The sequence below is a fragment of the Homo sapiens genome, chromosome 15, assembly GCF_000001405.40.
Source record: "Homo sapiens chromosome 15, GRCh38.p14 Primary Assembly".
In the NCBI taxonomy this organism is placed as follows: domain Eukaryota; kingdom Metazoa; phylum Chordata; class Mammalia; order Primates; family Hominidae; genus Homo; species Homo sapiens.
The window spans coordinates 96322184-96350129 of NC_000015.10; the positions used below are offsets into that span (position 1 = coordinate 96322184).

Consider the following 27946-nt stretch of genomic DNA (forward strand, 5'->3'; position numbering starts at 1 on the left):
AGCCCTCGGCCCCGCGGCGGCCCGCGCAGCCTTCACCCGGCGCCGGCACCACGAAGCCTGGCCGCAGTGGACTCCCCGCAGCTCGCTGCGCCCTGGCGTCTCCCGTCGAGGAGGGAGGGACGGAGGCCTGAGCCGGGAGCTCCCTGGCGGTGGTCGGGCCGCCCCCCTTGAGGCCTGCTCCCCCCTCTCGGCCTCGCCAAATCCCTGAAAGCCCAGTCCCCCTTCGTCACCCCGGGGGCTTCTAATCACTCGGTATCGATTTCCCTAACTCTTTTCATCCTGTTGAAGACACATCTTAAAACACTCCAGCCCGGAGTGTGCTCTGGGCTTTATCCACACTAATAAAATGATTTACCCTTCTCTCCGCGCTCTCCTCACAGAGGAAAATCGTTCGAGCCCCGGCTATTTGTGTGTGATCAGTAAATATTTAGTGCGCTGACATCCTTAGCTGGGCTTCGGATCGATTCGGGGCCCACCGGGAGGTGCGCACGGTCCGGGCGGGGCCGCGCCGAGCTCGCCGAGGGGGCTCCTCCCGCCCTCGCCGCCGGCCGCTGATTTACGGCCCCTGCAACCAGCTAAGGGGGGCGAAAGCGCGCCTGGAAAATTGGCTTTTCAACCTTTTACTTTTGACATTCAGCCACTTCCCCAGGCTCTAATTCTCGCCCGCACTCCTCCCTCCCGCCCTACTAAGGGTTGCCCTGTGCGCCCTGCGAGCCCTTCCAGCAGCAACGCGCGGCGCTCGCGCCCCCTCGGCCCGGGGACCACCTATCACAGCCCTGAGCCGCGACGCGGGGAGGCCCCGGCCCCTGCTATGGGGGTCGCCTCCTTCGAGGAGAGATGCTCTCCGCCCGCCCACACCTCTGAGGGAGGAGAGGGGGTGGAGAAGCCCAGAGCTGCATCTGCTGGATGACGAGCCGCTCTCCCTGCTACCCTTTCTCCGACCCGTCGGCCTTTCTCCTACTCTGGAGACTGATCCTCGACGTCCATCGGGCCGGATGGCGTCGGGTGGAAGCGTTACTTTCCTCGCAGAAAAACTCCTCCTCTTTCCTAAGATCAGAAAAAGCGCTTAGCTTGGAATTGTTAGGTGGAGGCCTCCTGCCCTGATAGTGGCTGTGAGAGGGCTGCGGCCGTGACACCGTCTGTGTCCCCTGGCCCTCCTGGCCTTCCCCGGGCGCAGACGATTTCATTATTGCAGGGCCGCACCGTGGACCTGGAGTAGGGCACTGCGGGGTCCCGCTGCGTCCTACGGGAGCGCTACCTCGGTCTGCTACGTTGCCCGAGTAAGATGTGAGGAATCCCGACCCTCGGACTCCACTACTCTTGGGCCGGGGCTTCGGGCCTGAAAGTCTCCGGCAATGTCGCCCACCTGTTAGCGAGCTTGTTCCCCTCTCACCTGGGGCCCGGGCCTTTGCAATTCCCCTGGGGCCCAAGAAGGAAGGGGCATGACCTTGCTGGGTCTAGGCACCTCTCCAAAATGCTAGCGCCCTCTCCTTTGTCCTACACATGATTTTCTAAACAACCTTATCTGCAGACTATATCTTTATACTAATGCATACTTAATTGGTCCGTCTTGACTGTCCATATAAAACAATTTAATTAGGGTGCTTTCTTGCTTTGGAGAGCAAAGAAAAAAAAAAAAAAAACCCTGCCCAGTGCTTATTGTATTTAGCACCAATACAGGCAGAAAATGTAGCACAAGTTTTTGGTTGAAAGAGCACCTCTGTGCCCATTGAAGGGCGTTGATCCGAAAAGACAGAAAGGACAAGTAAAATCGATTTGAAGCGACCCTCTCTGTCCCTTTCACACCATTCAGAAACTCCATTCCTTCTAAGACAAAGACCAGCGCCTTGGGAATTCTCAGGGAAAAAGAGGACTCTAGTCCCACAAGCCTAGGGCACTTTTTTAAAAAAAAATCCTCAATATTTCACTTAAAACCCACACTTGATGCTGTGCCCCCCAAGTATGGGTTCCACAGATGCCCCCTCCAAAGTGCCAAGCTGCAAGGCTGACAAACCCCCTTTCCCCTGCCTGTTTGGCCTTGTAGCCAGGCCAGGACAGCCGTTTAGGGTTAGTGCAGCCCTCACCTTTGACCTCCTAGATCCGAGTGGCTGCCAGCACTACAACTTTGGCCAAAGTTAAAAGAAAACCACAACAAAAAATTTTTTCTGCTCCCAAACCCAGGGAAACCAGTTCTGGTTCAGCCGCCTGAGCCACCTTACCCAATAGCAACCTCCATCCCTAACTTTTTTTTCTTCTTCTTTTGCAATGAACTGCCTGAGCCATCTCTGAAGGAGGGAATTGAAGTTGTCAGGGCTCCACGGCTGGGTTGTGGGTGGGGGTGAGTTTCTTGGTCTAACTGGTCCTCCATTAGGAACCCCCGAATGCCAGGTTATCCCACTGGTGCCCGAGCTGGGGAAGGCAGTCATCTATCAGAACTGGCAGGAAAGGGAGAAGGGAGAGGAATGAGATGGGCAGGGAGGGGAGAGAAAAGGCCAGGCTGTGATCATCTTCACCTGCCCTGAGTCCAGCCTTCCTGTTCAACTATTCCTCGACCTTCGGCTGGGGATGAAGGGGGCGGGGGCGAAAGGGAGGGGGCACCCCCGAGTTACACAAGTGGCCTCCTTCTACTAAGAGAATGAGTTCACCTCCTCCCCAGAGGAGCCTCACCATCCATCCACTCAGTATAACTGATGAGACAAACCGCAAGGAAAAACTTCTGTAGCCCATATTTATGGTATTAATGAATAGTTAAAAAAGATTTACACTTCTTATGATCAATATTCTGAGTTATTTTGCTCAAAGTATATAATTACAGTGTCTTCAGAGTTTTCATCATTGTTTGAGGTGGCAAAACCATTTGTAATTTTCATTAGCCAGTAAACATGTAATTAACATTCAGCACTGTGTTTAACTTAATTCCTGTTTAAGACAAGGACAAGAAGCAGCCGAAGAGCGTTAGTTCCATTTGTCAAGTCTGACATACATCTTACCATAACAGTTTCCTAAAATAAAAGATCCGTGTTTCCCCATTATTCTTCTCTTAAAACAAAACAAAACAAAAATCCATTAGTTAAGACAGTATTAAACTGTGAGAGGCAGCATAGTTTATATTCAATTTTCACTAGTTACCGTATTCTTGCTTCCTTTATTCGTTTTGGGGAGTAGAGAAAGGGAGGGGGTGAATGAAGCATTCATTATCTGAAGGCATGGAATGGGGAACCCCTCCCCCCAAAAGAAATAGATTTCCTCCTCAGGAAAGTTCTAGAATAAGGACCGGAAAGGGGGGAGGCAGAAATCCACAGGGGAGAGGGGGAAAAATCACTTGGGGAGACTTGAGTTAAAAGTAGAAAATGAGGATTCCAAAGGATTCCTAGGAAAAATGTTGCCCTCTTGTCTCAAGTTCTATCTTTGATCCAGGACGAGGGAAGCCTGTCTGCCAGTCTGCGAGGCTGATGCTTTTTCCCCCTCCTCTTCCACCTCTGTTTTTTCCCAACTTGCTTTAGGATTAGCCTCCATCTCTCTCGACCCCAAACAGTGGAATTTGGCTGTGCCTTGGGTCGTCTTGCTTTGCAATATCGCCTATAGTTGTTGGCGGTTTTCTGCTGAGGCTGAGCCGTTTGCTCCAGCCTCCGACTAAACTCATTAAGTTGGGAGATTTTTTTCAATTGGACGGGTGTTTTTAAAGTCTCGTCTTTCCAGCCCCAAACAAGGTGTAACAACGCACTCTTCCTTCTAAGGAATGAGATGAGAGACAAGGATCACTCCAGACATCTCCTACCTACGGTTTGGGGTTTTTTTTCTTAAAGGCGAGGCTTGCATTCCTCAGCAGCTATGTACAAAGCTCCCTGAAACCTTGTCTCTCTAAAGTTAGTGTGCAGGGTTTTCCAAGGCTGAGAGAGCCTAATACATGGGGAAGCACTTCCTTGAGGTGGAAGATCTCTCCCTTCACCTTTCCTCTTTTTCCCTGCAGGCTAGTGCCTACTTTTTATCAGTTTGCACAATCGCTTAGATAAACACCGAGGAGGAGATTCTCTTTAATTATCAAAGACACATCTTTTCAGGGGGCCAACAAAGCATTTATTTCACCCGCCAAACTAAAGGAGAGTTATTCCAGTTTAGGAGGAAGATGCAAGCGGTTTGGGACCTTGAACAAGGCAAATATGGTTTTGGTATGTTTACTTACAGTATTTTTTCTCTCTCTCTTTCCTTTCTCACTTTTCTGCTTGTGCTGTGTGGGGTTGGGGATGACTTGGGGCTTTTCAAAATATCGGTTTGCTAACGTGTATGAAATGCCGAGGACTGTGGTTTAAGGGGTTCGGGGAAGGGGGGATCAGAGTCAATTCAATGCATTGCCATATTTTATTACATGTGTGTGGTAGGAGAGATGGTGGAGGGGGAGGGGGGAAAATACAATTGCAAAGCTGCCAAAATATGATTAAACCGAAGCGTTAAGACTGCGGAGCCTCCTATCTCCTCGTCCTGTCTCCTCAAACTCATTTCCTTCCACAGAGCAAACTAAAAACCAGTCCTATAAAGCGTGGTTTTGCAAGCAGCAGATGACTCGGTTTTCTAGCAAAGGAGCTGCTAGGCTCGCACTAAGTATCAGAATTTACTGTTCGCTTTGCCTCTGCGCTTCATTTTGCAACCTTGTGCAACTGACAGCCAGGCAGGCAGGGAGGGAGAAAAGCCTAGCCCGGCGCCCTCGGCCACGGTTCGGGTAGGCGAGCGCTCGGTTAAGCTAGGAGGAGAATCGCGACGAGAAGGGTACTCACCATCGGGCGGGGCGGTGGAGCTGGCGTGCGGATTTCAGGCAAACGTTTACCTTTTTGCTGTCTATTGCAACCGCGCCGGGCTGACTTAAGAAGCAATTCTGTGCTCTGTCCAGAACATTCAAGGAGCGGTTCCTCATTTTTAAAAAGCCAGCGAGAGAGACGACAGAGACAGAGAGAAAGAAAAAGAGAGGAGGGGGTGAGGGGGACGCACATAAACCCAGTTCAAAAAAAAAAAAAAATCACCTCTTCGCCAGTGACTCGGGAAACGCAGAGGTGGCGAGATCCGAGTACGGTCCAACCAAGCCAGAGCCAATTAATTTTAAATCCTGAAGAATTATTCAGATTAAAATGTACAGAAGTTTCGTTCTCCTATGCCTACGTGAGTCCAAAGTCGTTTCCCTTTAAGAGCTCCTTTTCTTTTAAAGTTGAATTTTAGGCAGCGAGGACTCTTACACTAGGGGGCAGACAGATACTGTACTTGCTCTAATCTTAAGCAATTTTTTCCCTCCCAGCATATGCTCTGATTTAGCACTGTAAATTTTTCAGAGGACCTAACTCTGACAGCCCCTGGTGATTTTCAAAGTACCACAAGCCAGTGGTTAAAAATTGCATTGACTTGGAAGTTCAGAGGGACACAATGGAAGCCCCTTTCCCTATTCATGGAGCTCCAGTGTGGTGGAAGAGAAAAACACACACGGACTAGATTGAGGGAAAGGAGGAATTCAATGAATCCTGGAGGACGGAACTGGTTTCTACTGAGTTCAGAGTTAAACTCGGCATTTGCTGGGGTCTGTATTCATATTGTGATTCAATCTGTAAAGAAATACAGCCCATCAGGCCACTTTCTGCAAGAAAATTATATTCCTGGGTGTTGAGTTTCTTTCTTTTCTTTTTTAGATTAGGGCAAATGTTGTCCCAACTTTCTCTAGGCAAATTAAAGCTTGCCATTCTTCTCATTATAATAAATTTACATCTGCAAAAAAAGACTGAGTTGGATTTTTAAAAAACAACAATAATATATTGATTTTATCTTCTCAGAGCTTTTTAACCTTAGACGCACAGCAAGTGAGCATCTCTGGAGAAGACATTTAAAAATATTTTTGCCCTTTTTTCTTCTCAGTCTGTAGTCTTGTCTCTTCTTCTATGCATTAAAATTAAGTATAATTCATACGGTGATTTTTTTTCTCCCTTGTAACAGCATTTCATAACTGAATGAGTCCTAAAATACAGAGTGAAACACCCCTGACTTTATGGCAGCCCTGTGATCATTTGCCTAGCAGGCTCCAATTTGTTAAGATATGGTTGGGAAATTATTCCATTTTAATCTAAGGCCATCACGCATACTTCAAATTCCAAAAATCTCTAAGTGGACTGGGGAAGCTCTTCCTCCTCGATATTGTTCCTTCCCATGTTTGTAAAAGGTAATCTGCTATGGAAGTCTCATTCAGGAGGTGAGATGAAGATTTCCCTATAATCAATTATTTTCATCCTCTATTGAGATGGGAATGCCCATTAGATTTCCTATCTCAACCCCAGTCTCATCACATCTCAGCTGAGCTTGTCCCGAATCTGCTGACATTTGTAACATTAGCAATTCCTGAATCATAGAGGTTGGAAGGGAAAACAACAACAACTACCAAAAACCTTCTCCTGTGTAATGATTTCTTTTCCATCCTTCTTATCCTCTTTAGGAGAAAGTTATATTGTGTCTCTAATTAACCTGAAATTCTCAGCTTGGCTTCATTCTGTGGCAATCTTATTACACACCAGGTTTATGATAGTTCAGTGTCCACTATAGGTTTGCTGGGCTTTTTTTTTTTTTTTTAACAACTTTCAAATAAACCGAGAACCTGCAGCTTTAGTGAAATACGTGATTTCATCGGAGAAAGAGTGAGGGCTGAGGTTTCGGGAATGAAGCTTAAAGAAGATTTTTCCTTTCCTAAAAACCAGCCCCTATCTGCCCAGATCTTTAGTCCTTACCTCATATTCTGCCTATGTGTGTAAAGAGAATTGAATGTAAAATGTGATCTATGCATGTCAATTATATGTATGGTTTATTTTTAAAATATCTTTACCCTGTCAATTTTTTTTTCAGCTACCAAGGATGTTTTCTGTGGTCATCAATTTACTCTTCATATGTGTTCATTTCTTTCCTGGAGCTCAGCGTCTTTTGTGTAAAATATTTTAATTGTTCACAAACCTGGTTGGTTTACCGGCATGAGGTTTTTTCTTGGTGCAAAGTGTGTACAAAGGAGACACAATTTTCTTGTATAAATGTGGAATAATGATAATTCACTAACTGGTCATAAACAACAAGTTTACTGCGTTGGAATATAGTGTGTTCTGAGAGCAATTCTACATGTTTGATGTTTAAAACCAGACACCCTGGAATTCAAAGACACAACTGTCTCAATTATTTTAGCACATGGAGCAGAATGGCAATAGGCTATGAAGTTGTTCTTTTTGCAGTGACTTCTTGAGGTAGAATATGGCTTGGGTTTGGTTCTTGTGACCTGTACTAGTATTATTTCCCATTTGGGGCAGAATCTCTGGGTGCGTTTTAATGACTATATGAATGCTTAAAAGGAACTTGAGGAACAATGAAGTCCGTACTCAACTGTTCTATGACCTAGAAGCATAGTCGGTGAAGTCTTTGTCTGTGTACATTGACAAATGTGCATCTGATACATGTGCGCTTACATGTGTGTACAGAGGGTGTGCACAGGGGAGGCTGGGCGGCTGCCTCCTCCTGTCCATCAGTGGGCAGAGGTCTTTCCCCTCTCACCATGACTGGGTGTGTGGCAGGATGTTGGCTGGAGAGTTAGCTAAAACCAGCGAGAGAGGGTAAAGTTGAGGAAAATTGATTCTAATTGCATCATGACAATCAGATGAAGTCTATTTCTGCTTCTCAGCATCCGAGATGCTTTATTTGGGCAATTAAAATGTCAGGCCACATACCTGTGAAATGTTAACCCTACAAGGAATAAACAGAAACAGAACGGCCTTTATCCTCTGAAAAGAATATATGTCATATATATATGTCACCAAACCGAACAAGTGATCAGAGTTAATTAAGAGAAGGGTTTGCCATCACCCGGATCTGGCCAACTCTTTCGTTTGGAAAATGCCTACAAGCTCAGTTCGTGGCACCTTCCCACCCTCACTCCCTATCCCTCTGCAAAGAAACCAGGGAACTTTTCTTTGGCATTGTGGGTACTAAGATGCGCCAGGAGTCCCGGGTGGTGCGCGAGCGGCGGAATTCGTGACATCGCCAAGTTGCGAGAGGCAAACTCCCCGATTCCATCCAAAGCCTCTCGCGGAGCCTTTAAGAGACGTTGTGTGTGCGCGCTGCGCTAGTCTCCCCGCCGGGGCGGAAACCTCGGGTGCGGGATGTGGGGAGAGCAGAGGCAGCGCTCGCAGGGCCAGCACGGGCCCATCCCCCTCTCGGCGGCGGCGGCGGCGGCGGCGCGGCCACCCCGTCCCCGCCCCCCCAACCCCCGGTCCCCCGCGTGCCCCGCGCCGCGCCGGCGACGCCGCTCGCGCTAGGACCGGGCTGCGCCCGCGGCCGCCATGGCGGGGCCGCCGCAGTCCGGCCAATGACGGCGAGGGGGCGGCGCGCGCGCGCCTGGCCAGGCCAACCCCGGCTGCTGCCTTATAAGGCGCGCCGTCGCCATGGCAACGTGCGCTAAGTTGCAGCAGTCGTGTCAAAGTTCACTATATAGAGAGCTCAGTGAGCTGATCGCGGAGAAGCCACTTCTGCCAGCCCCGGCGCCTATAAATCGCATTCCCTCCCGCGCCCCCCTTTTTAGCATATTTGATCACTTTGATTCTCTGTTCTTTTCTCTCCGCGGTGTGTGTGTGCGTGCGCGCGTGTGTGTTTTCTTCTTCTCCTCCTCCTCTCCCCGAGTTGCCTCCTTTCTCCGGGTGCCGTACTGCCTTTTTTCCCCTCTTTCATTCTTTCTCTCCGTCTTTTTCTCCCCCCTCTGCGCACGAAGGATGTGCTTCTAGGTGGTGATCTGCCCTCCTCTCTCTCTTTTATCATTTCTCCCCCGCCGCCGGCGAGTTGACTCTTTCCCTATGTGTGTGAGGCGGCGGCGGCAGCAGCAGCAGCAGCGGCTCCGGCGGCGGCAGCAGCGGCAGCAGCGACTTCAGCGGCGGCGGCGGCGCTAGACGCAGCGGCTCCGGGCCCGACCCGGCGGCTTCGGCGGCGGCTCCGGCGGCAGCGGCGGCCCGGGCGGCCCGCAGGGAACGGCGAGCGGCCTCCACCCAGCGACTGCGGGCGGCGGCGGCCGGAGAGAGCGAGGCGCGCGCCGGACGCCCGGGGCAGGCGGCGGCGGCGGCGGCCCAGCGCCAGGACGACGCCGCGCAGCGCCCGACGCGGACCACTTTCATGCTGATTCCCCCGGACCCGGGCAGCGCTCCGGCCACTCCGCGGGCCGCCGGCCTCCGCCCCGGCCTGCCTGGCTCCCTGGGCGCGCCCGCACCCGGCGCCTCCGATCTCCTAGTCCTCCTGATTTCGATGGCTTTCCTGAATGGCTGACTGTGGGCTGCCCTGGACTTGGCCCCCGGACAGTCGCCTCTCCTCCTCCTCTACCTCCTCCTTCACCACCACCTCCTCTTCCTCCTCCTCCTCCTCCTCCTCCTCCGCCAACTCCTCGGCTGCACACCAGCTCTAAGAGCGAGAGTGAACGAGAGAGGGAGGGAGAGAGTGAGAGCGAGCGAGATCTTTGGAGAGATTTTTTTTTTTGCCTCCTACTTCTGTCTTGAAGCCAGACAATCGACTTCAGCTCTCCCTCCCCTCCCTCTTTCTCCACGTTCTGCTCCCACTCGCTCTCCTGTCCCCTTCCCCTCCCCTCCCGGCGGAAAGCCCCCCGAAACCAACAAAGCTGAGCCGAGAGAAACAAACAAAACAAACACACCGGGCCAGACAAGCCATCGACAAAACTTTGCAAAAGCAAAAACAAAAAAGGAAAAACTAACCAACCTCAACCAACCAGCCCCCGAGCCACCCGGGGCGCCCTCCCGCGCCCTCTTGCACCCTCGCACACACAAAAGGCGGCGCGCCGGAGCCCGAGACCCGGGGAGCCGCCGCCGCCCCGCCGCCGCCCGCAGCCAGGGGAGCAGGAAGTCCGGACGCAGCCCCCATAGATATGGCAATGGTAGTCAGCACGTGGCGCGACCCCCAGGACGAGGTGCCCGGCTCACAGGGCAGCCAGGCCTCGCAGGCGCCGCCCGTGCCCGGCCCGCCGCCCGGCGCCCCGCACACGCCACAGACGCCCGGCCAAGGGGGCCCAGCCAGCACGCCAGCCCAGACGGCGGCCGGTGGCCAGGGCGGCCCTGGCGGCCCGGGTAGCGACAAGCAGCAGCAGCAGCAACACATCGAGTGCGTGGTGTGCGGAGACAAGTCGAGCGGCAAGCACTACGGCCAGTTCACGTGCGAGGGCTGCAAGAGCTTCTTCAAGCGCAGCGTGCGGAGGAACCTGAGCTACACGTGCCGCGCCAACCGGAACTGTCCCATCGACCAGCACCATCGCAACCAGTGCCAGTACTGCCGCCTCAAAAAGTGCCTCAAAGTGGGCATGAGACGGGAAGGTATCGGCCTCTCATTTCTCCTTCCCTCGTCCTGGGTCCCGGGGTCCTGGGTACGTTTGGCTAGCCTGCTCTGGGTAAGGACAAGAAGCCCCAAGCTCTTCTCTTCGTATTGCAGCGGAAAAGGGTTTTATACTAGAAGCGAGTTCTGCATTGGAACCCAGACCCCAAATCCGCATGCTTTGGCCGACTGATTTCCTTCTTTACTCTCTCTTTGGGCTGTTTCCATTTCCTTTGCATTGATTGTGAGTTCACTGGAGTCTGCCTTTCTGCAAGGGATGGGGTGTTTGTTGTTGTTGTTTTAAAGCCTAGTTTACTTCTCTCTCTCTGCCCTTGTTTTTCCTGCATGTTCAACATGTCCCTCCCCCTCACCCCTTTCCCCAGCCCCCACCCTCTCAAAAAAAAAAAAAAAAAAACCTGAGATTGTACTTTTGTACAGGAGGTTCAAATTACAAATGGCAATTTTATGCACTTCGCCGTATTAACGCTGCCGCCCGGGCAGCGCTCATGTGACCCTCCGTGGATTAACATCCTGCTAAAAAAAAAAATACCTCTGCTTTCTTTTTTCCTTTCACTTTTTGAAACGAAGAGAGCGCGATAGGAAGTAGGAAAGGGTGGGCGAGGGGCCCTGGGCGGCTGCTTTCGCTCTGCGCGAGTTGGGTCTTTGTGATATAAAATTCGCCGAGCGCCGCGAGCCGTGCTTTGCCAATGGCGCGCTCGGCGCGGGGCGCGGGCTCCGGGTTGGGGCGAGCCAACGCCGGGGTTTCTTTGTGTTTCTGCGAGAGCGACTCTCCCGGTCCGGAGTCAGATAACAGCCTGGGCCCGAGCCTCGCCGGCTTTCCCCGGCCCTTACAGGCCCTGCCCAGGCTCCGCTAGTGCCGGCCGCCTGCTCCCTGCCTCTCCCGGCTTCCTCTCTCTTTAGCCGGCCTCTCTCTCTCCGCCCTCTCCCTCCGTCTCTTTCTCCGAGCACACTGATTAGACAGACGCCAGACCTCCGCTCTCTGCTTGTCTCTCACTGGGGGGGTTCCCCGCCGGGCTGGGGCTGGGGCTTCGGGGTTTGTGGGAGAGTCGTTCCGGAGTGGCCACAGGCCGTCTGGGGTGGACCCTCGTGCCTTTTGCAAAAGCGCCTCACCCTCCCCCCAGACTCGCCCCTCCCGCTCCCTCTCCTCCAATCAATAAGAAATATCAGCTGTTTAGCAGTAAAGAAGAAAGATGCCCTCAGAATGCTACATCCCGCCCACAGCGCCGGGGACCCCGAGGCAAGGTGGCCAATTCTGGGTCCTCGGCGGACCAGCCCCGAGCGGGCCTCGGAGGCAAGTGTGCCCCTCTGGCCCTCAGAGCTCGCCTGGGTGGTGGTTTGAAAGGAATGGTGCCAAGAGCCTGGCGACTCCAGCTCTGTGGCAGGCCTGCCTGGTTCTTGCGCTGCTCAGGGCCTGGGTCAGGTGGGGGTCGGGCTGGGGCAGACCCCGCCGGGGAACCTGGGGACTGAGGCTGGTCATTAACTGTGGAGTGTCTCCTTTCCTCCCCGCAGCGGTGCAGAGGGGCAGGATGCCGCCGACCCAGCCGACCCACGGGCAGTTCGCGCTGACCAACGGGGATCCCCTCAACTGCCACTCGTACCTGTCCGGATATATTTCCCTGCTGTTGCGCGCGGAGCCCTATCCCACGTCGCGCTTCGGCAGCCAATGCATGCAGCCCAACAACATCATGGGTATCGAGAACATTTGCGAACTGGCCGCGAGGATGCTCTTCAGCGCCGTCGAGTGGGCCCGGAACATCCCCTTCTTCCCCGACCTGCAGATCACGGACCAGGTGGCCCTGCTTCGCCTCACCTGGAGCGAGCTGTTTGTGTTGAATGCGGCGCAGTGCTCCATGCCCCTCCACGTCGCCCCGCTCCTGGCCGCCGCCGGCCTGCATGCTTCGCCCATGTCCGCCGACCGGGTGGTCGCCTTTATGGACCACATACGGATCTTCCAAGAGCAAGTGGAGAAGCTCAAGGCGCTGCACGTTGACTCAGCCGAGTACAGCTGCCTCAAGGCCATAGTCCTGTTCACCTCAGGTAGGAAGGAGCCCTGTCTTCTCGTGCCCACGGGCTCCTAGCCCAGAGCTGGGGCCCAGAGAACTTGGGAGTCCCCAGGGCAAACCCAGTCTGCTCCTTGAAAGGCCAAACTGTTGAGTGCAACTTAAAGTGGGAACTTTTTATAGCTGCTGGGCACTACCAGGCCTGTCCTGGGGAGAGGAGAGGAAGGCTGGATTGCAGGAAGGATGCTTCAGATAGATTCCCCACATGGGCCATAGGGCAGCCTCTGCTGCCTGTTTCCCCCACCTGCAGTATCCAGATTGGGATGCCCTCTCCTGCTCCCTTTCCTGAGCCCAGGCCCCCCGGGCCTGCTGGGCCCCAGGGAATCTCCTCAAGCCCTCGGTTTTCTCTAGCGCCCTGGCTGGGCCTCCAGGAGATGCCCTGGGCAGTGGAGCAGCCCTGACATTGTCTCTGCAGGGAAAAGTTTGCCTGCTAACTCAATAGGAGTTGGAGCTCCAGGCAAATCCAACCTGAGGGCAGCAATTTTCAAAATCATATTCTTACTGGAATAATGCAGACTGCCAGGAGAGGCGAAAAGATGTGTCAGGATGGGGCAACAGGAGGAAAGGGACCGTCATAACTCTTCAGAATGTCTGCAGGAGGTTGAAGACTCTGGCCTCTTGCTTCCCCTGCCCAAGCAAACACTTAAGGCAATTTTCAAACAACCCAAAGTGTATGCCAACTTGGGCTGGATATGGATGTTGCTAGAGATATAAAACCATCATTGACTGCATTATGCAATCTAATTAGTTTGCATGTAGTTTAACCTGTGTGAGTAATAGAGCTGATACTAATTAACTTGAGGCAAAATGATTTTTGAAGGTGTCTGGCTTTCCATTTTGGGCCACACCTGAGCTTTTTGGCTGCCTCCAGGCTGAGTTCAGCATAGCCCAGGTGGATGGAAATCACCAACCCCCTTTCACATTCTTGTACTAAGTTGTCAGCTGATCCTTTTGTCATGGCTGAGAGGGGAAAGGGGTTCCCGATTAAGAATAACAAACATCTGGACGTTAGCAGGGCTTGGAACCTAGTCACCCACTACAATTTTTTAAGCTTGTTAACAGGAAACGAGGAGAGATGTGTAGTTTATGTGGCAAACATAAAGGAGGTCCACAATCTCTTCCTTATTGTTCGAAAGAAGTCTGGGGAACTAAGTCATTAGCTGAACAGCTTGCAGCTTCTTAGTCCTCAAACTGCTGTCTTGTACATTGCTGCTTTCCACATAAAACCTCCCAGCACAGCCACCCCAAATTCTGCCTTTGGAAGTCCTTAGGTAATCAATTAAAGGCCAGTGTCTGGGCAGGGAAGCTGTTTGCAGAGGTTTGGATAGGGATTATTTTTCTCGAGTGCCCCTCATACCTAGAACGTTTGCCTGCTGCAGATATACAGACAAGATATCTCCCTACCTCATAGCCACCTTCACCCCTGTCCCACAACCCAACACCCAGCCCACCTTCTTGGACGATGGAGGTAGTCGTTAATTTCTTGGTATCATTGCTAGCTCTTAGCCTTACCCTTGGTCTTTCAAGGAAAAAAAAATGCCTGATACTGTCGTTAACAGTTTAATTTATGACTATTTGCAAAATGTGGAGGCCTGTGTGGAGAATGCAAATCGCCTCACAAAGAGATAAAGGTTCCTGTTATCTGATTCAGAGGGAGACACACAGTTCCGAGGATGCCGAGGGAAGGAGTCCTGTGCAAACAGATCTTTTAGTTCCTGTCCACAGACACCTCTACATTCTGTAGACATGCAGAGTCCTAGATATACATATGAGGAGGTTGCATGTGTGTTCTGGTTCTTGGGGTGGAGGTGGTGGTGGAGATTTTCGAATATCTGTTTTAATGACTCACAATATGCATATGTTAACCCCAGTCTTGTATGGGGAGCCCTGAAAGGTCAGGTCACAACCTGAACCGCCTTTACCAAGAAGCTTCTCATTTCAAAGGCACTTACTGTATTTTCACGTATCAAAAAAGAAAAGTGTTTTCCTGAAGATAACAGGGAGGGGGGATGCTTCTCGGAGGGACCTGGGTTTTAAAAAATAAAGGGGGGTAGGAGAAAAAGGGAGAGAGAAGAAAAAGGGGGAAAAGAAACAGCTCAAATGAACAGAGAGATCACGGTTTGCATGGCTGCCCTTCAATAGGCTAAACTGACAAGATCAGTTTTAAAGGGCCACTTAAATCAGTTTCAAAGACTGGAGAAAAATGAGTCGCCCTCTTTGGGGGGAATCTGAGGCTGGATCGTGGACGCCATTACTCGGGACTGGGCCAGGTTGTCCACCCCCAACCCCCAACCCCTATATAATTATAAGCCAAACTATTATTTACAGAGGAGGAGGGGAGAGAGTGCTGGTAGTTTTGGTTTCTTCTGTTTACTGACTTGGGCCAGACAGACCCAATGCACTTTTGCTTGGGCCTCTCAATGACCCAGGCTAAGGACTCGGGCAGTGAAAGCCTGTAGCACACTGAGCTATGTTTTATTTTAAAGCAAACACTTCCTCAGGACCATCTCTTGCTCTTTCTTCCCCCACCCCGCCTCCCCCCCTTAAGTTTTCAGTACATAGACATTTGCTCCAACTCCGGTTGGGGCAGTTTGACAGAGCTCTGTGCACACACCTCATGTGACCCAATTCAAACCTCTTAATCTGATGACTGAATTCTTCTTCTTCTTCTTCTTCTTCTTTTTCTTCTTCTTCTTCTTCTGTTTTTAAACTTTCTTCCAGATGCCTGTGGTCTCTCTGATGTAGCCCATGTGGAAAGCTTGCAGGAAAAGTCTCAGTGTGCTTTGGAAGAATACGTTAGGAGCCAGTACCCCAACCAGCCGACGAGATTCGGAAAGCTTTTGCTTCGCCTCCCTTCCCTCCGCACCGTCTCCTCCTCAGTCATAGAGCAATTGTTTTTCGTCCGTTTGGTAGGTAAAACCCCCATCGAAACCCTCATCCGGGATATGTTACTGTCCGGCAGCAGTTTTAACTGGCCGTATATGGCAATTCAATAAATAAATAAAATAAGAAGGGGGAGTGAAACAGAGAAAGAAAAGGCAAAAGACTGGTTTGTTTGCTTAATTTCCTTCTGTTAAGAAAGGATATAAAAGGATGTTACAAGTTTGCTAAAAGAAGAGAGGGGAAGAATTTAATGGACTGTGAATTTCAAAAAAAAAAAAAAAGACTGTCAAATGAACTTTTACAGAATGCATTAAAAAAAAAAAAAAACTCCTGTGTCGGTCAGAACAACTTGCTACTTATCATTTTTGTATAAAAAGGAAATTAGTCTTTTTCTTTTTTTGGTAAATTTTTGAAAAATATTGCTAAAAGTGCATTTAAGGAGATTGGGAGACAATTAGCAGAATGGAGAAAGTAAGTCTTTTTTTTTTCCAAATTATTAATTGTCCTGTGTCTATGTACCTCTAGCTGTTCTTTTTTGTACTTTTCTGGTTCCAAACCAGTTTATTCTGTGGTTCTATAATAAGTTTTGATATAATCTTGGCTTCTTAAAAACTGTGTATCATTAAAATATATGTTCTGCAAGAATTAAAACTGAGTCCATGAAAATACCATAGGAAGACATAAAACTTTAAAAGGCAACTCAAAGATGATGGAAACGCACTTACAAGTGGTGACCAAAATTTTTAGGTGAAGTCGAGCACTCTAATTAGAGAACTGGAGGAACCACATATAACACTTAACTTCCCCTACCCTGCCCCTCCCCAAAAGAAACCATGACAAACCTAGCTTTTAAAAAATATTTTAAGAAAGAGAATGAACTGTGGAATTTATTGGCAGCCAAGGAATGTGTCCAAGACACATGCTGAGGTTTTGAATAAAAAGTGAACTTTTGTAATTTGAATTGGGTCCCGCTTAGTTCTTGAATTGTTATGAAAATCCTATATCTGTTTGTATATTTGCAAACCCTTTGTATTATAATTGTTGATATTTTCCCTTTTTAAAAAATACCATTGAAATCAGCATGACAAAAATAACACTGTTGGCACTTATAGGTAACGTGATTGATTCAGTATCTTAGAGTTTACAGTTTGTGTTTTAAAAAAACTGAAGGTTTTTTTTTTAAGTGCAACATTTCTGTATACTGTAAAAGTTATAATAACTGAACTGTTTGGTCGAGTCTTTGTGTGTTATATTCCAAGGAAAATTGAAAGTATTCAGAAATTAAAATATTATTTGATATCTGAAACCTGGCTGTCCCCACTCACTGTCTTTACATCTAGAAGAGCCCCTGTGAGCTCTCGCTTAGCTGGCCGGGCGGGGGGTGGTGGGGGGGGGCATTTGTTTACTCCCCTCAGTCAGTTTGTTCAAAGGTGGACTACTGTATTTGCCTGTTTAATTTGGGTGTGTGTGTGTTGGGGGGGGAGCTGAAGTTAATGGTTTATCTATGGTTTAGGAAGTGCCATACTGATATAGTAAACCACCCCCATTCACCTAATCCTCCTTTTAATTAAAAATGGATTTTCCAGGAAAAAAAAAAAGGCCCTTATATTTGTCACACTTAAGTGCCTGCTTAGGGAAGGTATTGTGAAAAAGTATTAGAAATCTTGAGATCAGTATCTATTTTATGATCAGAAAAAAATACTCTTTTGTACATTTCTGACAGTTACTCAGAAGATCGTTCAAGCAAGCTAATCACAGCATTGTAACTAGAGGACAGTTGTTTGCAGTGAGTTTTTCCTTAAGTAGGTACGATTTTTTAAAATATTCTGTGATTCTACTCTAGCGTGGTTGTTGAGAGAGTTTCAAATTCAGTGATACAGGTTCTAAGACTGAAAGGTCTACTTTTAATGTATATATGATAACTTGCAGTTGGTTTCCCTCTCCCCTCCCCCCCTTTACCTTCAGTCTGTGAGAGCATGACCACAGGGTCAAGGGAATCTTTTCCATTGGAGTTATGTACATAAAAACACATCGACATTTTGACATTTCAGATTGTGTGGCTACAATCTGTACTGCTCTTGGGATCCTTTGTCCTTAGAAGCCAAATTAAGGAAGAGAAAGCAGGACAGAGAAAAAGAAAGAAGGAAGGAGGGAAACTTTACAGGGTGTGCTGATTTGGAAGTAGTAACTATTTCTTTTGGAGTCTTTTTTTCATTTTTCCTCTTTCTCTTTTCCTGGTTTGGAGGAAGCTCGGTGCTGGGAGCTTGCAATTTTGTTCTTATTCAAGGTTTCCAACCCACCCCCCCACCGCCAGTACTTCATCATGTTGTGGTTTAATTCTAATTGGTGGGGGGGGGGGAGGACTAGTGAGGGAGGTGAAAGAACAGGGATAATTTTGTAAAGTGTATTAAACGTTAATATTCAGATCCAGTCAATACATGCAGACCAGTAAAATCTGATTTGTGCAGAGTTCTCCATCTGACTCTCACTTATTTCTGTAGATATATACATATATAAATACAAGTATGTTCTTACGGCACAGTATTGCTGACCTTTAGTTCGAGGTTTTGTCGGTTGTTGTTGATTTTCTTCCTCTTGCAAGTGCTATCCATGTGAGTGTGTGAAGTTTCTCTAATAAGTAAAACACAGGCCCTTTTCCTTGTTTGTTTTGTGTTAGTTTATTGTAAACAGCCATTTGTTGTAAATTATTATTGGCATTAAATTATAATTTATGATTTTCAAAGCAAAAGACAATCCCTGTTTTATTATGCTTTAAGCATGTGTTCTAGACGTTGGAAATCTCTCTCGCACTCTTAAGTTTAAGCAATGAGCTTGGGGTCTGCGAGGCAGAAAAACAGGACCCAAAATTTTTCAACCGGTTAAAACAAACCCCCTTGTATATGTTTAGAGTGGCCGGAGGAGGATCTGTTTAGAGTCTTGAGTTCGGTTTAAGTTTATTGCATTTAAAGAAAGTTTTTCTTTTCACGCTGAGTTAGAACAAAAGATCTTTGCTGCGACTGAATTGGACAAAAGACGAGGGCTGGGACCCAGCGAGCGCGTTCTGTGTGAAATTGACGAGATCTTTAAAAAAGCTGCTAAACATGGCGACTCTTTCCCTTTAAGTGTCTCTTTTTCCTTGCTGGGTTTTTTTTTTTTTTTTTTTTTCATCTGATCTGAGCTCGCTTTATTTCTTTTCCCAACCCCGCTCCCCCTCCTCCTCGTGGCGCTCGGGGGTGTGAGAGAACCCAGTTAGACGCGAAATGCAACAATAGTGCAAGGAGAGAGAGGGGCGCTCGCTGCTTCTCGCCACTTTCAAACAAACCTGGGGGAAGATTGAGCCCGGGGGGGATTCCAGCCTGCTCGCTCGGCTCGCGGTCGCCCTGCCTCGGCCTTTCACCATTAGCTCTCCCTGGGCCGCGAGGAGCTGGGGCTCAAAGTTAGCGGGCGACGTCCGAGGCTTAGCCTCTAGCCGGCTGCAGGGACGGGGGCCTGGAGTTGGCAGCTGCTACGGGAAAGTGCCTGCCCCCCAGCCCCCGCCCCCACTTACGTGCGGCAGAATTCCGCCAGCGCCCCGGGAAAGTCCGGGGTGCCGGGCGCGCGGAGCTGCACTCCTGGGATGTGCATTAAGCGGCGACAGGCGGGGGGGGCGAGGGCGGGGGCGGGGGGCGGTCAGGGGGAGCTCGAGCGTGTGAAACTCTGCCTCGAATCTCGCTTTTGACTTGGTCCTATGAGCTGAGCCAACATGGCGTCTCCCACTGCACCGCGAGCGCCGGGCTGCCAGGCTCGGCAGGGCCGGGTAATAGAAAACACATTGGTTACCAAAAAGAAAAAAAGGAGGGCGGGGGGCGCTAAAGGCCATTCCGTCTGCAGGCAGAAAACCCTTTTTTAAACTCTTGCTGGCAAGTGAGTCCGGTCCTCGGTTCTTTAATTAAAGCAACAGAATTCGTAAGGAAAATATTGGTAACGCTGTACCTTCTCCCCTCCCCCTCCCATATTCAGGAGAGTTGATTTCCTGTCCCCTCTCCTTCCAAGAACCAAATTAGAAAAATAAAAAGTCTGTATCCGCAAATGATCTTAAATGTTTGAATGGTATAGGGGGATGGGAAGAGGACGGTCTTTACAGACCTCGGTCAGTTCTCGCGCTCATTAATGCAGGGGCTGCGCCGGGGTTTGCGCGGGCCCGAGCGGAGCTGGGGCGCGGTGGGGAGGGCGGAATGCGAACCCCGCTGGACTTGGGCAGAACTTGCTGCTTTTGCACGCCCAAGTTGTGGGAAAGGAGGCTTTCCGGGCGGAGGGTTGATTGGGGGGTGGGAGGGTCTAGCAGGGGCTGAGGGCCGGTTCCAGGCGGGTGGTCGCAGACCCTAGAAATGTGTGAGCCCGCGTGGACTGTGCCCCTGGCAGGAGAGCGACTGCAGCGGAGGACCCTCTTTCTCTAATAGGTTTGAGAGTGGGCAAGGGCGGCCGTGGGACAGACCTGGCCTCCTAGAGAGGGTCTTCTGAGGGCCTCTGCAGAGATAGTGGATCCGGGCCCAGGCTCCCTTCTCGGGCGGATGGGATATCGCCCCGCCACGTCCAGCTCCATCCCCAGCCCCGGCCTGGACAACCCTCTCCCTCAGCCGCCTGGGATACTCTCTGAATTCCAGGCCTCGTCAAGATTTATTGAAGTTGGGCTTAAAAAACGTGCTTCAGATGATTTTTCCCATTTTCTCAGATTTCAAAGGCTCCCTGCAGTGCGGCTGCCTAATTAATGGTGAAATTCAACTAAATCTAATTATGCAGTAATTTTAAAGCAGTTAGTGCTGGGCGTTGGTTTGTAATAGGACCTCAGTTTTTTAAAGTTTGCTTACTGTGTTGGTTTAGGGGAAAGCTATTTTTTGTATGGTAAAGAAAGACCGGGAAGTAGTACTACTGGAGGAACCAGAGGGCTAAGAACCGCTCCCCACCCCACCTCTATCTCCATCCCCAATTCTATCTCGTTTTCCTTCTGTTTTTTCTATCCCAAGCACACGGTAAAAAGCTGAGCAAGGTGCTAACCCAACAAGGAGACCCTATTTCATAGCCAAAGGGGAAAGAGAGAATCTTTCATACAGAGACACAAAGGGCTTGGTATCTGTCCTGGAGGCCTCTGTAAATGCCCCCAAACCCGGGAAGGGATTCTCATCTCCTCTAATAGAGAACAGATTTCCTCCTCTTAACATCCATTGTCATTAAGGCGCAAAGCTGACTCTTGGAGTTGTAAATCTTATCGTCCTTCTGATAACACACTTGTAATAAGTTAGCGTCCTATTCAAAGTGAATTGTAAAACTGCCTCATTTAATATGGCATCTGTGTCATTAAAACTTTTATTTTTCTCCCCCTCGTGTCTTGCAGGTTTGGCCTTGGGGCTAGCGCTGAAGTCTCTGCCTATGGGGCCTCTGGGGTAGGGCTGAGGGGAAGAAAGGTGTGAAAGACGGGCTGCCTGGATTCAGCCTCTGGATCTTAGACCGGGGTGAGAGACCCGAGGCAGAATGGGCCTGGGGGGTGGTGTCCCTCTATCCCATCTCCCCCGGAGCGGCCCCCTCGAAATGACGTTCCTTGAAAGAAACATGCTTGTGATTAGCTAAGCAAACACATCTGCTTTCGGAGTTGGGCCTTCGTTAATTAGCTGAACAAAGGGCCGTTTTGCTTTTTACCTTTTGCTGGGGAGAGTGTGTTATTTCAGGAGTGTTGCGGGCCCTCCTCTTTTCAATTGCAGCCACGACGTTAATTTTATTGGGATTACTGATGGGAAATGAGGTGGCGCAGGCTTCCGAGAGGAAAAGCTTGATCATTACCCCCTTTGGAACTATATTTTTCCACCCAACCTCCTGCTTGAGAGGAGGGGGTGGGGGGCGAACTGCGCTGCAAGTTCGGAGCAATTGGAATCAGGCTCGCGGTGCGCTGATCTCGGGTGACAGAGCGTGTGTTGAAGCTGAACTCTATAATTTGCGCTTCTGTTCCTTTATTAGGCCTGGACAACGAACTAATGAGCTTTGGCCCAGTACAATGTCACTTGTATTTATTTTCTTATGGCAACTTTGAGATAGCGGAAGTGTTCTTTACCAAGAGCCAGGGAGGGCCCGGAGTCCTGCCGGCTGCTGTCCCGGCCCGGGTCGGTGGCTGCGTCCCGGGGGAGCGAGGGCGCGGTGAGAGCGCGCGCAGAGCCGGCAAAGCTCGGGGACTGGGCTTCTAGGCGAAGCTAATGGGGCCCTCAGGAAGGCGTTAGGCCCTTTGGAGGCCCAGGCATCCCTACAGGAGCAGCTCCCTGAGGATGAGGTCGGGGGGCGCGGGGCAAGTCCAGGGCAAGTTCCCAGGCACGAGATGATGGAAGGCGCGAAAGTGGCATGGCTTCCTCCTGGCGCAGAGCAGGGGGTCCTTCCGCAAAGACTGCCAGGCCAAGGAACCCTCTGAGCAAGCAGATGTACTCCGCCCGGTGGCCTGGGCGTCTGCTTTCTGCTGCAGGAACCTGGCCCAGCTCTGTTGCTCTCTGGGTTGGGGGTGAGGTGGGGTGAAGAGGATGCTTTAAAGGAGTTCTTGGGGTCCTCGGCATGCGGGGACTCCCTCCCTTCTCTTTCTGGTTTGGCCACTCCAAAGGGTCGAAGTTGGAGAGGCCTGGAATAAAGTGAAGAAGCAGTGGGGGTTGGAGGGACAGAAGGGTCGGCGGAGGCAGTGCGGCGTCCCTTGTTCCCTGGCAGAGAGAATACGAGCCCACCACGGGGGGATTGTGGGTGGGGGGCAAGGGAAGGGAAGCCCCAGGAACTGCGAGGGGAGCGAGTACTTCTCTCCGCAGCCTGTCACTTTCCGAGGCTCCCGCCAGGCAGCCCTCGTTAATAACGCCTAGACACCGTGCCCCTGCCCGCCCCATCTCTCCTTGCCTCTCCTCACTTCATCTCTCTGCCTTACCACCCCCTCCCCACCTTTTCCTTCCTTCCTGCAAATGGGTGTTAACGTGGGTCTTTATGTTCTGTCTATAACTAGGATGTAATCACGCACCCCATGCCTCTCTCTAAAAGCATTTCATAAATGTCTATTAAAGCGCTACGAATGTAAGATGAATTTAGTGGCGCGGCTGCCTCCCTGAATCCGAACGGTAATGATGGATTTATCAACGGGGATTCGCCTTCAGCCCAGCGAGGGAGGTTTACTCAGCAAATATGTCGGCGAGCACCCACCCAAATGCAATCATTTGACCCCCTGCGGACGATAGCTGCCGTGCCCCTTCCCACCGCTGGTCCTGCTTGGCCAGGGTCGCTGGGGGCCAGAGGCCGGCCCGGATGACCAGAGAGGTGGCCTCACGGATCCCTTGGCCTCTCGCCCCCTCCTCTGTTTCCTCCTCTCAGCTTGAGGCTCTCCTGGCAAGGGGGATCGATCTGGCGTGTAGGTTTGGTGGGGAGGGAGAGGGTGGTGGCGGTGCCAGAGCACAAGATGAAGTGTGGGCTGTCTTGGCGTTGCCAGGAGACATCAGTGGGTGCCATCGTGCCCTTCTTAGTTTGGAAGGGGCACAATTGTACCCAAGTCTCTGAGTGTGAGCTTAAGTGCCCTGCTTTTGACCAAATCTTAGTGTCTGGGATCGTGGCTGACTCGGCCCAGCCCTGGGCCCCATTGTAGGAAACGTGGCTGTAGGACAGAAGCCTGTGGTGCCCAGCCCCTTGGAAGGGCTCAGATGTGCCCAGAACGAATGCCTTGCCTGCCCATCCTCCTGGGGCTCCCTAGACCCCAAGCCAAAGCAGAGATACCTGTTATCAAAGGTTGGGGAAGAGCCTCCAAGGCAGGGGCAAAACTTCCATATCTCTTTCCCCCAAACTGATCTAGCTTCTCCTTCACCTTCCCCCACCGAGGCCACCCGGCCATTTTAAAGTTTAGTGGCTGTGGACTTTTAGAATTTGGTTTGGTCTGTGATCCTTACCGCACAGACCCAATGACCACCACCTCTTTCTTTTTGTCTTTTATCTGCTCTCCTTTTGAGGGGGAGGAAAGTGCTGGCCTGTTCCATCAAGCCCAGTTCGCATTTGCTTTAGCCTCTGATTTCTCTTTCTTCTTTGGAAATTTCATTGAGATGTCTCTGTACTTCGCTTGTCAGTTATCTTTGTTCCTTTTAAATAAAGGGCTTTTAAATGGACTTATTGCTCCCAGCGTGGGTTCCTCTCTCTAAATGTTAGAAAATTGTGCCATCTACCCGCTATGCTGAGTACTGTCACACTCGGAGACCTCGGGGACCTCCGGGCAGGCTTCAATGCTGCAGTGTCAGGGGCCGCGGGCAGCAGGAGGAGGGGGCGGCTCACGTGGATTTTTACAGATCTCCGCCTGCAGCCGGCCCGCGTGGCCACGCCAGGGCACGGCCCGAGACGCGCGCAGCCGCCAGCTTGATGGCGGCCGCGAACTTGGCTGCAGCGGCAGATCTCCGACCAAATCGCAGGCGTGGCCGGGACTCTTCGCTTCTGCAGCATACAGCTGGCCGAGGGGGAGCCGCGGGTGGTTTTGGACCCCAACAGCAACTGGGGGTCAGGGATAACGGAGGACAATGGGAAAGGGGGAGCTGCCTAGGAGGGGGAGAGGGGTGGATTTTGCCGCGCCGCTTTGGAGCGCTCCCACGGCCTCTCCAGGCCGGTCTCTTTCCTTGGGGGATGCCAGGCTAGGGGCAGCGGAGAGCGAAAGCCGCGGAGTGGCTTCCCTGTCTCTTGGCCAGAGAGTTCTGGCCAGGCAGTTCGGCTGCAACTTTCAGATCCATTTTCTCTGGTGGAGATATTTCTGGTGTCTTTTTGTAGGCCAGACTTCTTTCCTTTAGGGGAGAGTGGTTTAGATGGACCGAATTTGAGCAGATCAGGTGTCTGATGTGGGGTATCTTCACCCCAGCCCCGCCTCTGCAAAACACCCATCCGCAACTGCAGGTTCTTTTGAATGAGTTAAAATGGATTAACAGTTTGGATTTTATTATGTGGCTCCCCCTCACAGATGCCTTTTTTGTTGTTGTTTTTTGTTGTTTTGTTTTAACCCATAAGGAGTATTAGCTAAGATTTCCAAGTGTCAGTTGGGTATTTATGCTTGTGGGGGAAAAAAAATCTCCGATACGGTTTATGACTTTTATTACATGCTTCACACTGTTCGAGAAATGGAGTTTTAAGCAACATACAATTAAATCTATATTGCTCTTTGGAAAAGGGCCAAGGAACTCAGCAATCAATTAGTTTAGATCTTTTCATACTTGTTGCTAAAATCAAAGTATAAAACTACAACCCTGGCTATACCTAAGAATAGCTTCTTTTCCTATTTTTTTTCAAGTCATGTAGCTAACACGTAGGAAATGGCAGCTGCCTTATTTTCCCAAGTTTCTTTTTTCTGATTCTTCTGCCTAGATTAGCCTTTAAATAATCAAACGATTTTCTCCCCCCGCCCCTTTCTCTCATTGCAGTTTCTCATCTGCCTTTATCTGCCTGGTTTAGTTTTTAAAAATACACTTATTTGTAATATGTATTATTTTTTAAATAAATGTTCCTTAATCCTCTCTCTTTCTTCCCCCTTCCCTTGCCTGGCAGTGAGAAGGGAAACGATGTTGTTTAATAATCACAATAATACAGTGCTTTCTAGACAAAGGCAAAATTAAATTTTTTATAACCACAACAAGAAGGGAATCAACCTCTCTTTCTCTCTCTCTCATCTCTGTCTCTTTAAATAAGCAGCTGAGGAAATAATCTCCCGCACTGAACAGAAACTGCTTCCTCCTTGAAAATGCCACCGTTCCCACCTCCCTGGCCCTCTCTGGGCCAATCCCTTGGGCTGTCGGCTGTCTGCCTGTCCAAGACCCTGGTTGGGGGTGGGGGTGCGCCTATGGAGATCCAGGGGCGTAGTGAGAAGGCAGTGGGGTCTCGCTCGCCTACGTGCGGCTGCCGAGGCGGGGCTGACAGCAAGTTCTAAAGAGGGGCAGCTAATTTATTAAGTAATTCTTACTTCGCTTCAGCATCCTCTGCCTACAGCTCCCGAGGCTCCGGCGAGGAGGGGGAGGGGTCTGGGGCTGTGCGTCTCCCCCTCCGCATTTCCTTCTCCGCCTTCCAGGCTCCGCCAGCCCCTCCACCAGCCTCATCACTAATTAAAACGCCCTGTGGCTTTGGGACTGAGTAGGCCGGTCGTTGAACTGTCATCTCCGCCAGGATGGGAAATCTAGAACATCCCCTCTTCTGCAAAAAAGGTTCCGAACCCAGTGAAGTGATTGGGCGGAGTGTCATTAATCTCTCTCCAGAAGCTTTCCTTTTCCTCCTGGGGAGTGAGGACTCCGGCCTTTGCCTCCACCCAACACGGTCGCCCGGCTAGGCCCCACCATCCCCACTGTCGACCCCGCCGTTGTGCCCATCCGTATGCCCTAATTGTGAGGAAGGTCTGGGAAACATTTTCTTTGCGCTAATTTTATATTTCCCCTTTCCCCCTTGCAACATTAAACATAATTTTGCGCTGTCACTGTCACTAAGATTGTGGTTTGCTGATGTCTCTACTTGGAAACATGACCCCTTCGCCTCCAACAGGGAGTCCTCCCCTTGCTTGCAGCCTCTAGTGCGGCCCCTTCTCCAGCGGGGACTTCAGAGCGTTTATGAAAATGCTGGGGCGGGGGGTGAGGGGATGGGGAGGTACTGATAGTAGTAAAGGCCAGAAGGGTTCCTACCAGAACCCTACAATCATTCCAAACCCTCTTTTCCTATGACAGCAGGAGCAAATGTAGTTTTGATGTGCGTTTGGTTGTTGGCTTGTTTGTTTAATAAAATCCGTGTGTGTGTGTGTGTGTGTGTGTGTGTGTTTTAATGTCTCAGTGTATGTGACAGGAAACCACTTTCAGAATTTCCCTTTGAATTTTTTTTGTTTGTTTGTTTTTGTGTCTGTCCTCCTCAACTTCTCTCTTTTCTTTATTCCCCTCCCCACTACATTTTCTCTGGCTAAGCAATAATCCCCTGGCCCAGTGGCCACGCTCCTGGAGATAAAATCCATTTATCCCTTGTGTTGCCTCACTGAGGCCCGGTTATCCAGGGCCTTTGGCGACAGACTGGAACAAACAGAGATGAAGATATTTTTTCGTTTTCCATACCTGCTCCTCCCTTCCTTCAATGTGCCAGCCTAGAGGGGCTCTGGAGTTGAACAAATGTACCCACAACTGCAGGTTTGCTCTGGCGCCTGGTTGTGGTCCTAGTTGCTATTTGTTTGTCTCTTTGGAAGGAGCTGTTAGTTACATTCTGCTCCCCACAACAGTCTCAGAGCTTGCTTGCACCAAGGTTGGGAGGTTTCAGAGCGATTATCTCATTTCGCTGGTGCAGAGGGAAGCTGCTGGCAGCCCCTGGATCAGACATTCAGTGGAAGGCCCATGTCACAGACCCAACCCGAAGGTTAATTTTCCCTCATTAGCATCTCCATAGTCTGCTCCTTGCAAGGGATCTCAGGTCCTTGCTGCTATTTTCTCCCTTCTCACTCTTTCTGACGAATTCACTCTCACTCGTGGTCTCCTCATCACAACCTTACATTCTGCCAGGTTCCTATTGAATCCATAGACTGATCGCTGAAAACCCATTTCATCAGTTTCCAACCAGTATGCCTATTTTTAATCCTAGAGCCCCTCTCCTCCATCTGTATCTCTCTAGCCTCAATGCACCTCATTTACAAAGTGTTCTGCTTTATCCAAATTAGTTCACTTCCCCCCTTTTACTTTCTCATACCCCCTCATTCTTTCATTGAGTTCTAGCAAAAGCAAAAGATACAAAATGGCAAAGTTTGATGGGTTGGGGGAGACCATCCCAGCCATTTAGGAAGAAGCTGGAGGTTTGTAATGACAGAAAAAAAATGACAAAGAAAAGAGAATTGCATTTGTGGCTTAAGTGGGACAATGTGTTTGTGTGTCTATATCTCGGTGTGTTTTTAAGATTTCTTTGAACTGCTTTTGTGCTGACCCAACAAAGGCATTTGCTGAAGCTAGTCACGGTGTAGGAACTTTGAGTTAACCTCTTATATCAAATGAATCTTTTCATTTAGAGACCAATAAATCTCAATCTCTAGCTACTTTTTGTAGACCCAGCTTGGGTTCAGTGAGACAAAACTGGGGCTTATAATACAGACCAGATAAAGTTTGCAAAAGTTGTTTTTTCCCCTCCATCCTTTTTTACCAACCTGAAAAATTTCCCCATCCAACAAATTAAAGCTCAGCAAATAAAAGTAGCAGCTCTTCCTCAGTGAGCAGAAGGTTAGGAATTTCTTTAGCATTTCACAGCAAAGCCTTTTCACTGAAATGGTTTTCCAAACTCAGAGGCCGAAAAGATTTATAGTTCTTCAACAAGTCATTATTTGGGTGTGTTTTTTAGGTGGGGCTGAGACAATCTAATAATCAATGTAAGACGGGTGGGTGGGGGGATTGGCTATGACCAAAAGAAGAGTTAACACCAGAAACATGAAAGCCAGTCTGGTCTCCAGGGATTGAATTTGGGAAAGCCTGCACACGGCTGCTCCTGGGCCATAAAGAAATACATTGTTAACAACAACAAAACAGACAATGCCCTGAGCTCTGCCTGGATTCAGAGCTGAGCTACTTTCAAGATATTTTAGCAGCACTGTTCATTTTGATGGGGTTTCTGGG

General features: G+C 50.1%; 1 protein-coding gene, 2 long non-coding RNA genes and 1 other non-coding gene across 9 annotated transcripts in view, besides 7 other annotated features; 3 read left to right on the forward strand and 1 right to left on the reverse strand.

Moving 5' to 3' along the window:
* The window catches only part of NR2F2-AS1 (NR2F2 antisense RNA 1), a 200002-nt gene extending 194824 nt beyond the window's left edge, over positions 1 to 5178 (reverse strand). For 2 of the 3 annotated variants that reach the window (NR_102743.1, NR_102744.1), the window contains exon 1: positions 5016 to 5178. This is a non-coding gene — a long non-coding RNA (NR2F2 antisense RNA 1). Of the gene's footprint in view, positions 1 to 4772; positions 4936 to 5015 lie in introns of those variants that run through there. The other variant, NR_125738.1, reaches the window with a different exon arrangement.
* NR2F2 (nuclear receptor subfamily 2 group F member 2) lies at positions 3863 to 18080 on the forward strand. Of its 4 annotated transcripts, none has more exons than NM_001145155.2 (3): positions 3863 to 4169; positions 11893 to 12420; positions 15165 to 18075. In NM_001145155.2, exons 1-3 carry the CDS (start codon positions 4127 to 4129, stop codon positions 15437 to 15439), a joined length of 846 nt encoding a protein of 281 aa, NP_001138627.1. In that variant the 5' UTR covers positions 3863 to 4126; the 3' UTR covers positions 15440 to 18075. The 4 variants fall into 4 exon arrangements, with proteins under 4 accessions (NP_001138627.1, NP_066285.1, NP_001138628.1 ...); NM_021005.4 differs by lacking the exon at positions 3863 to 4169 and adding an exon at positions 8517 to 10364; NM_001145156.1 differs by lacking the exon at positions 3863 to 4169 and adding an exon at positions 10382 to 10438 and having other exon boundaries at positions 15165 to 18080.
* Positions 8270 to 8409: a silencer, noted in NCBI's record as "silent region_6852". NCBI's record gives its function as "represses an Ori minimal core promoter by ATAC-STARR-seq in GM12878 lymphoblastoid cells {active_cell/tissue: GM12878}" and the evidence as "EXISTENCE:reporter gene assay evidence [ECO:0000049][PMID:35858748]".
* On the forward strand, positions 11078 to 11124 carry MIR1469 (microRNA 1469). Its single transcript, NR_031715.1, has one exon. It is a non-coding gene; the product is annotated as a microRNA 1469 (primary transcript).
* Positions 11544 to 12506: an enhancer, noted in NCBI's record as "H3K27ac-H3K4me1 hESC enhancer chr15:96876956-96877918 (GRCh37/hg19 assembly coordinates)". NCBI's record gives its function as "activates a minimal SCP1, AML or CMV promoter by ChIP-STARR-seq in naive H9 embryonic stem cells {active_cell/tissue: H9 hESC(naive)}" and the evidence as "EXISTENCE:reporter gene assay evidence [ECO:0000049][PMID:30033119]".
* Positions 18617 to 18911: a silencer, noted in NCBI's record as "tiled region #11279; K562 Repressive non-DNase unmatched - State 18:Pol2". NCBI's record gives its function as "represses a minimal TATA promoter and a strong SV40 promoter by Sharpr-MPRA in K562 cells {active_cell/tissue: K562}" and the evidence as "EXISTENCE:reporter gene assay evidence [ECO:0000049][PMID:27701403]".
* Positions 18617 to 19176: a biological region, named in NCBI's record as "Sharpr-MPRA regulatory region 11279".
* Positions 18657 to 19176: an enhancer, noted in NCBI's record as "H3K27ac-H3K4me1 hESC enhancer chr15:96884069-96884588 (GRCh37/hg19 assembly coordinates)". NCBI's record gives its function as "activates a minimal SCP1, AML or CMV promoter by ChIP-STARR-seq in naive H9 embryonic stem cells {active_cell/tissue: H9 hESC(naive)}" and the evidence as "EXISTENCE:reporter gene assay evidence [ECO:0000049][PMID:30033119]".
* Positions 19177 to 19697: an enhancer, noted in NCBI's record as "H3K27ac-H3K4me1 hESC enhancer chr15:96884589-96885109 (GRCh37/hg19 assembly coordinates)". NCBI's record gives its function as "activates a minimal SCP1, AML or CMV promoter by ChIP-STARR-seq in naive H9 embryonic stem cells {active_cell/tissue: H9 hESC(naive)}" and the evidence as "EXISTENCE:reporter gene assay evidence [ECO:0000049][PMID:30033119]".
* Positions 19698 to 20217: an enhancer, noted in NCBI's record as "H3K4me1 hESC enhancer chr15:96885110-96885629 (GRCh37/hg19 assembly coordinates)". NCBI's record gives its function as "activates a minimal SCP1, AML or CMV promoter by ChIP-STARR-seq in naive H9 embryonic stem cells {active_cell/tissue: H9 hESC(naive)}" and the evidence as "EXISTENCE:reporter gene assay evidence [ECO:0000049][PMID:30033119]".
* SCDAL (stem cell derived angiogenic lncRNA) lies at positions 20714 to 23461 on the forward strand. The gene is made up of 2 exons (NR_198964.1): positions 20714 to 20815; positions 22382 to 23461. It is a non-coding gene; the product is annotated as a stem cell derived angiogenic lncRNA (long non-coding RNA).
* The last annotated feature ends 4485 nt before the right edge of the window (positions 23462 to 27946 follow it).

What these genes read in the sequence shown, in the direction of transcription:
- NR2F2 (NM_021005.4), top strand. Translation starts at nt 9,923, where the DNA reads ATGGCAATGGTAGTCAGCACGTGGCGCGACCCCCAGGACGAGGTGCCC. An exon ending in AGTGGGCATGAGACGGGAAG is followed by an intron (nt 10,365 to 11,892) that starts GTATCGGCCTCT and finishes TCCTCCCCGCAG; the next exon opens with CGGTGCAGAGGGGCAGGATG. An exon ending in CATAGTCCTGTTCACCTCAG is followed by an intron (nt 12,421 to 15,164) that starts GTAGGAAGGAGC and finishes ACTTTCTTCCAG; the next exon opens with ATGCCTGTGGTCTCTCTGAT.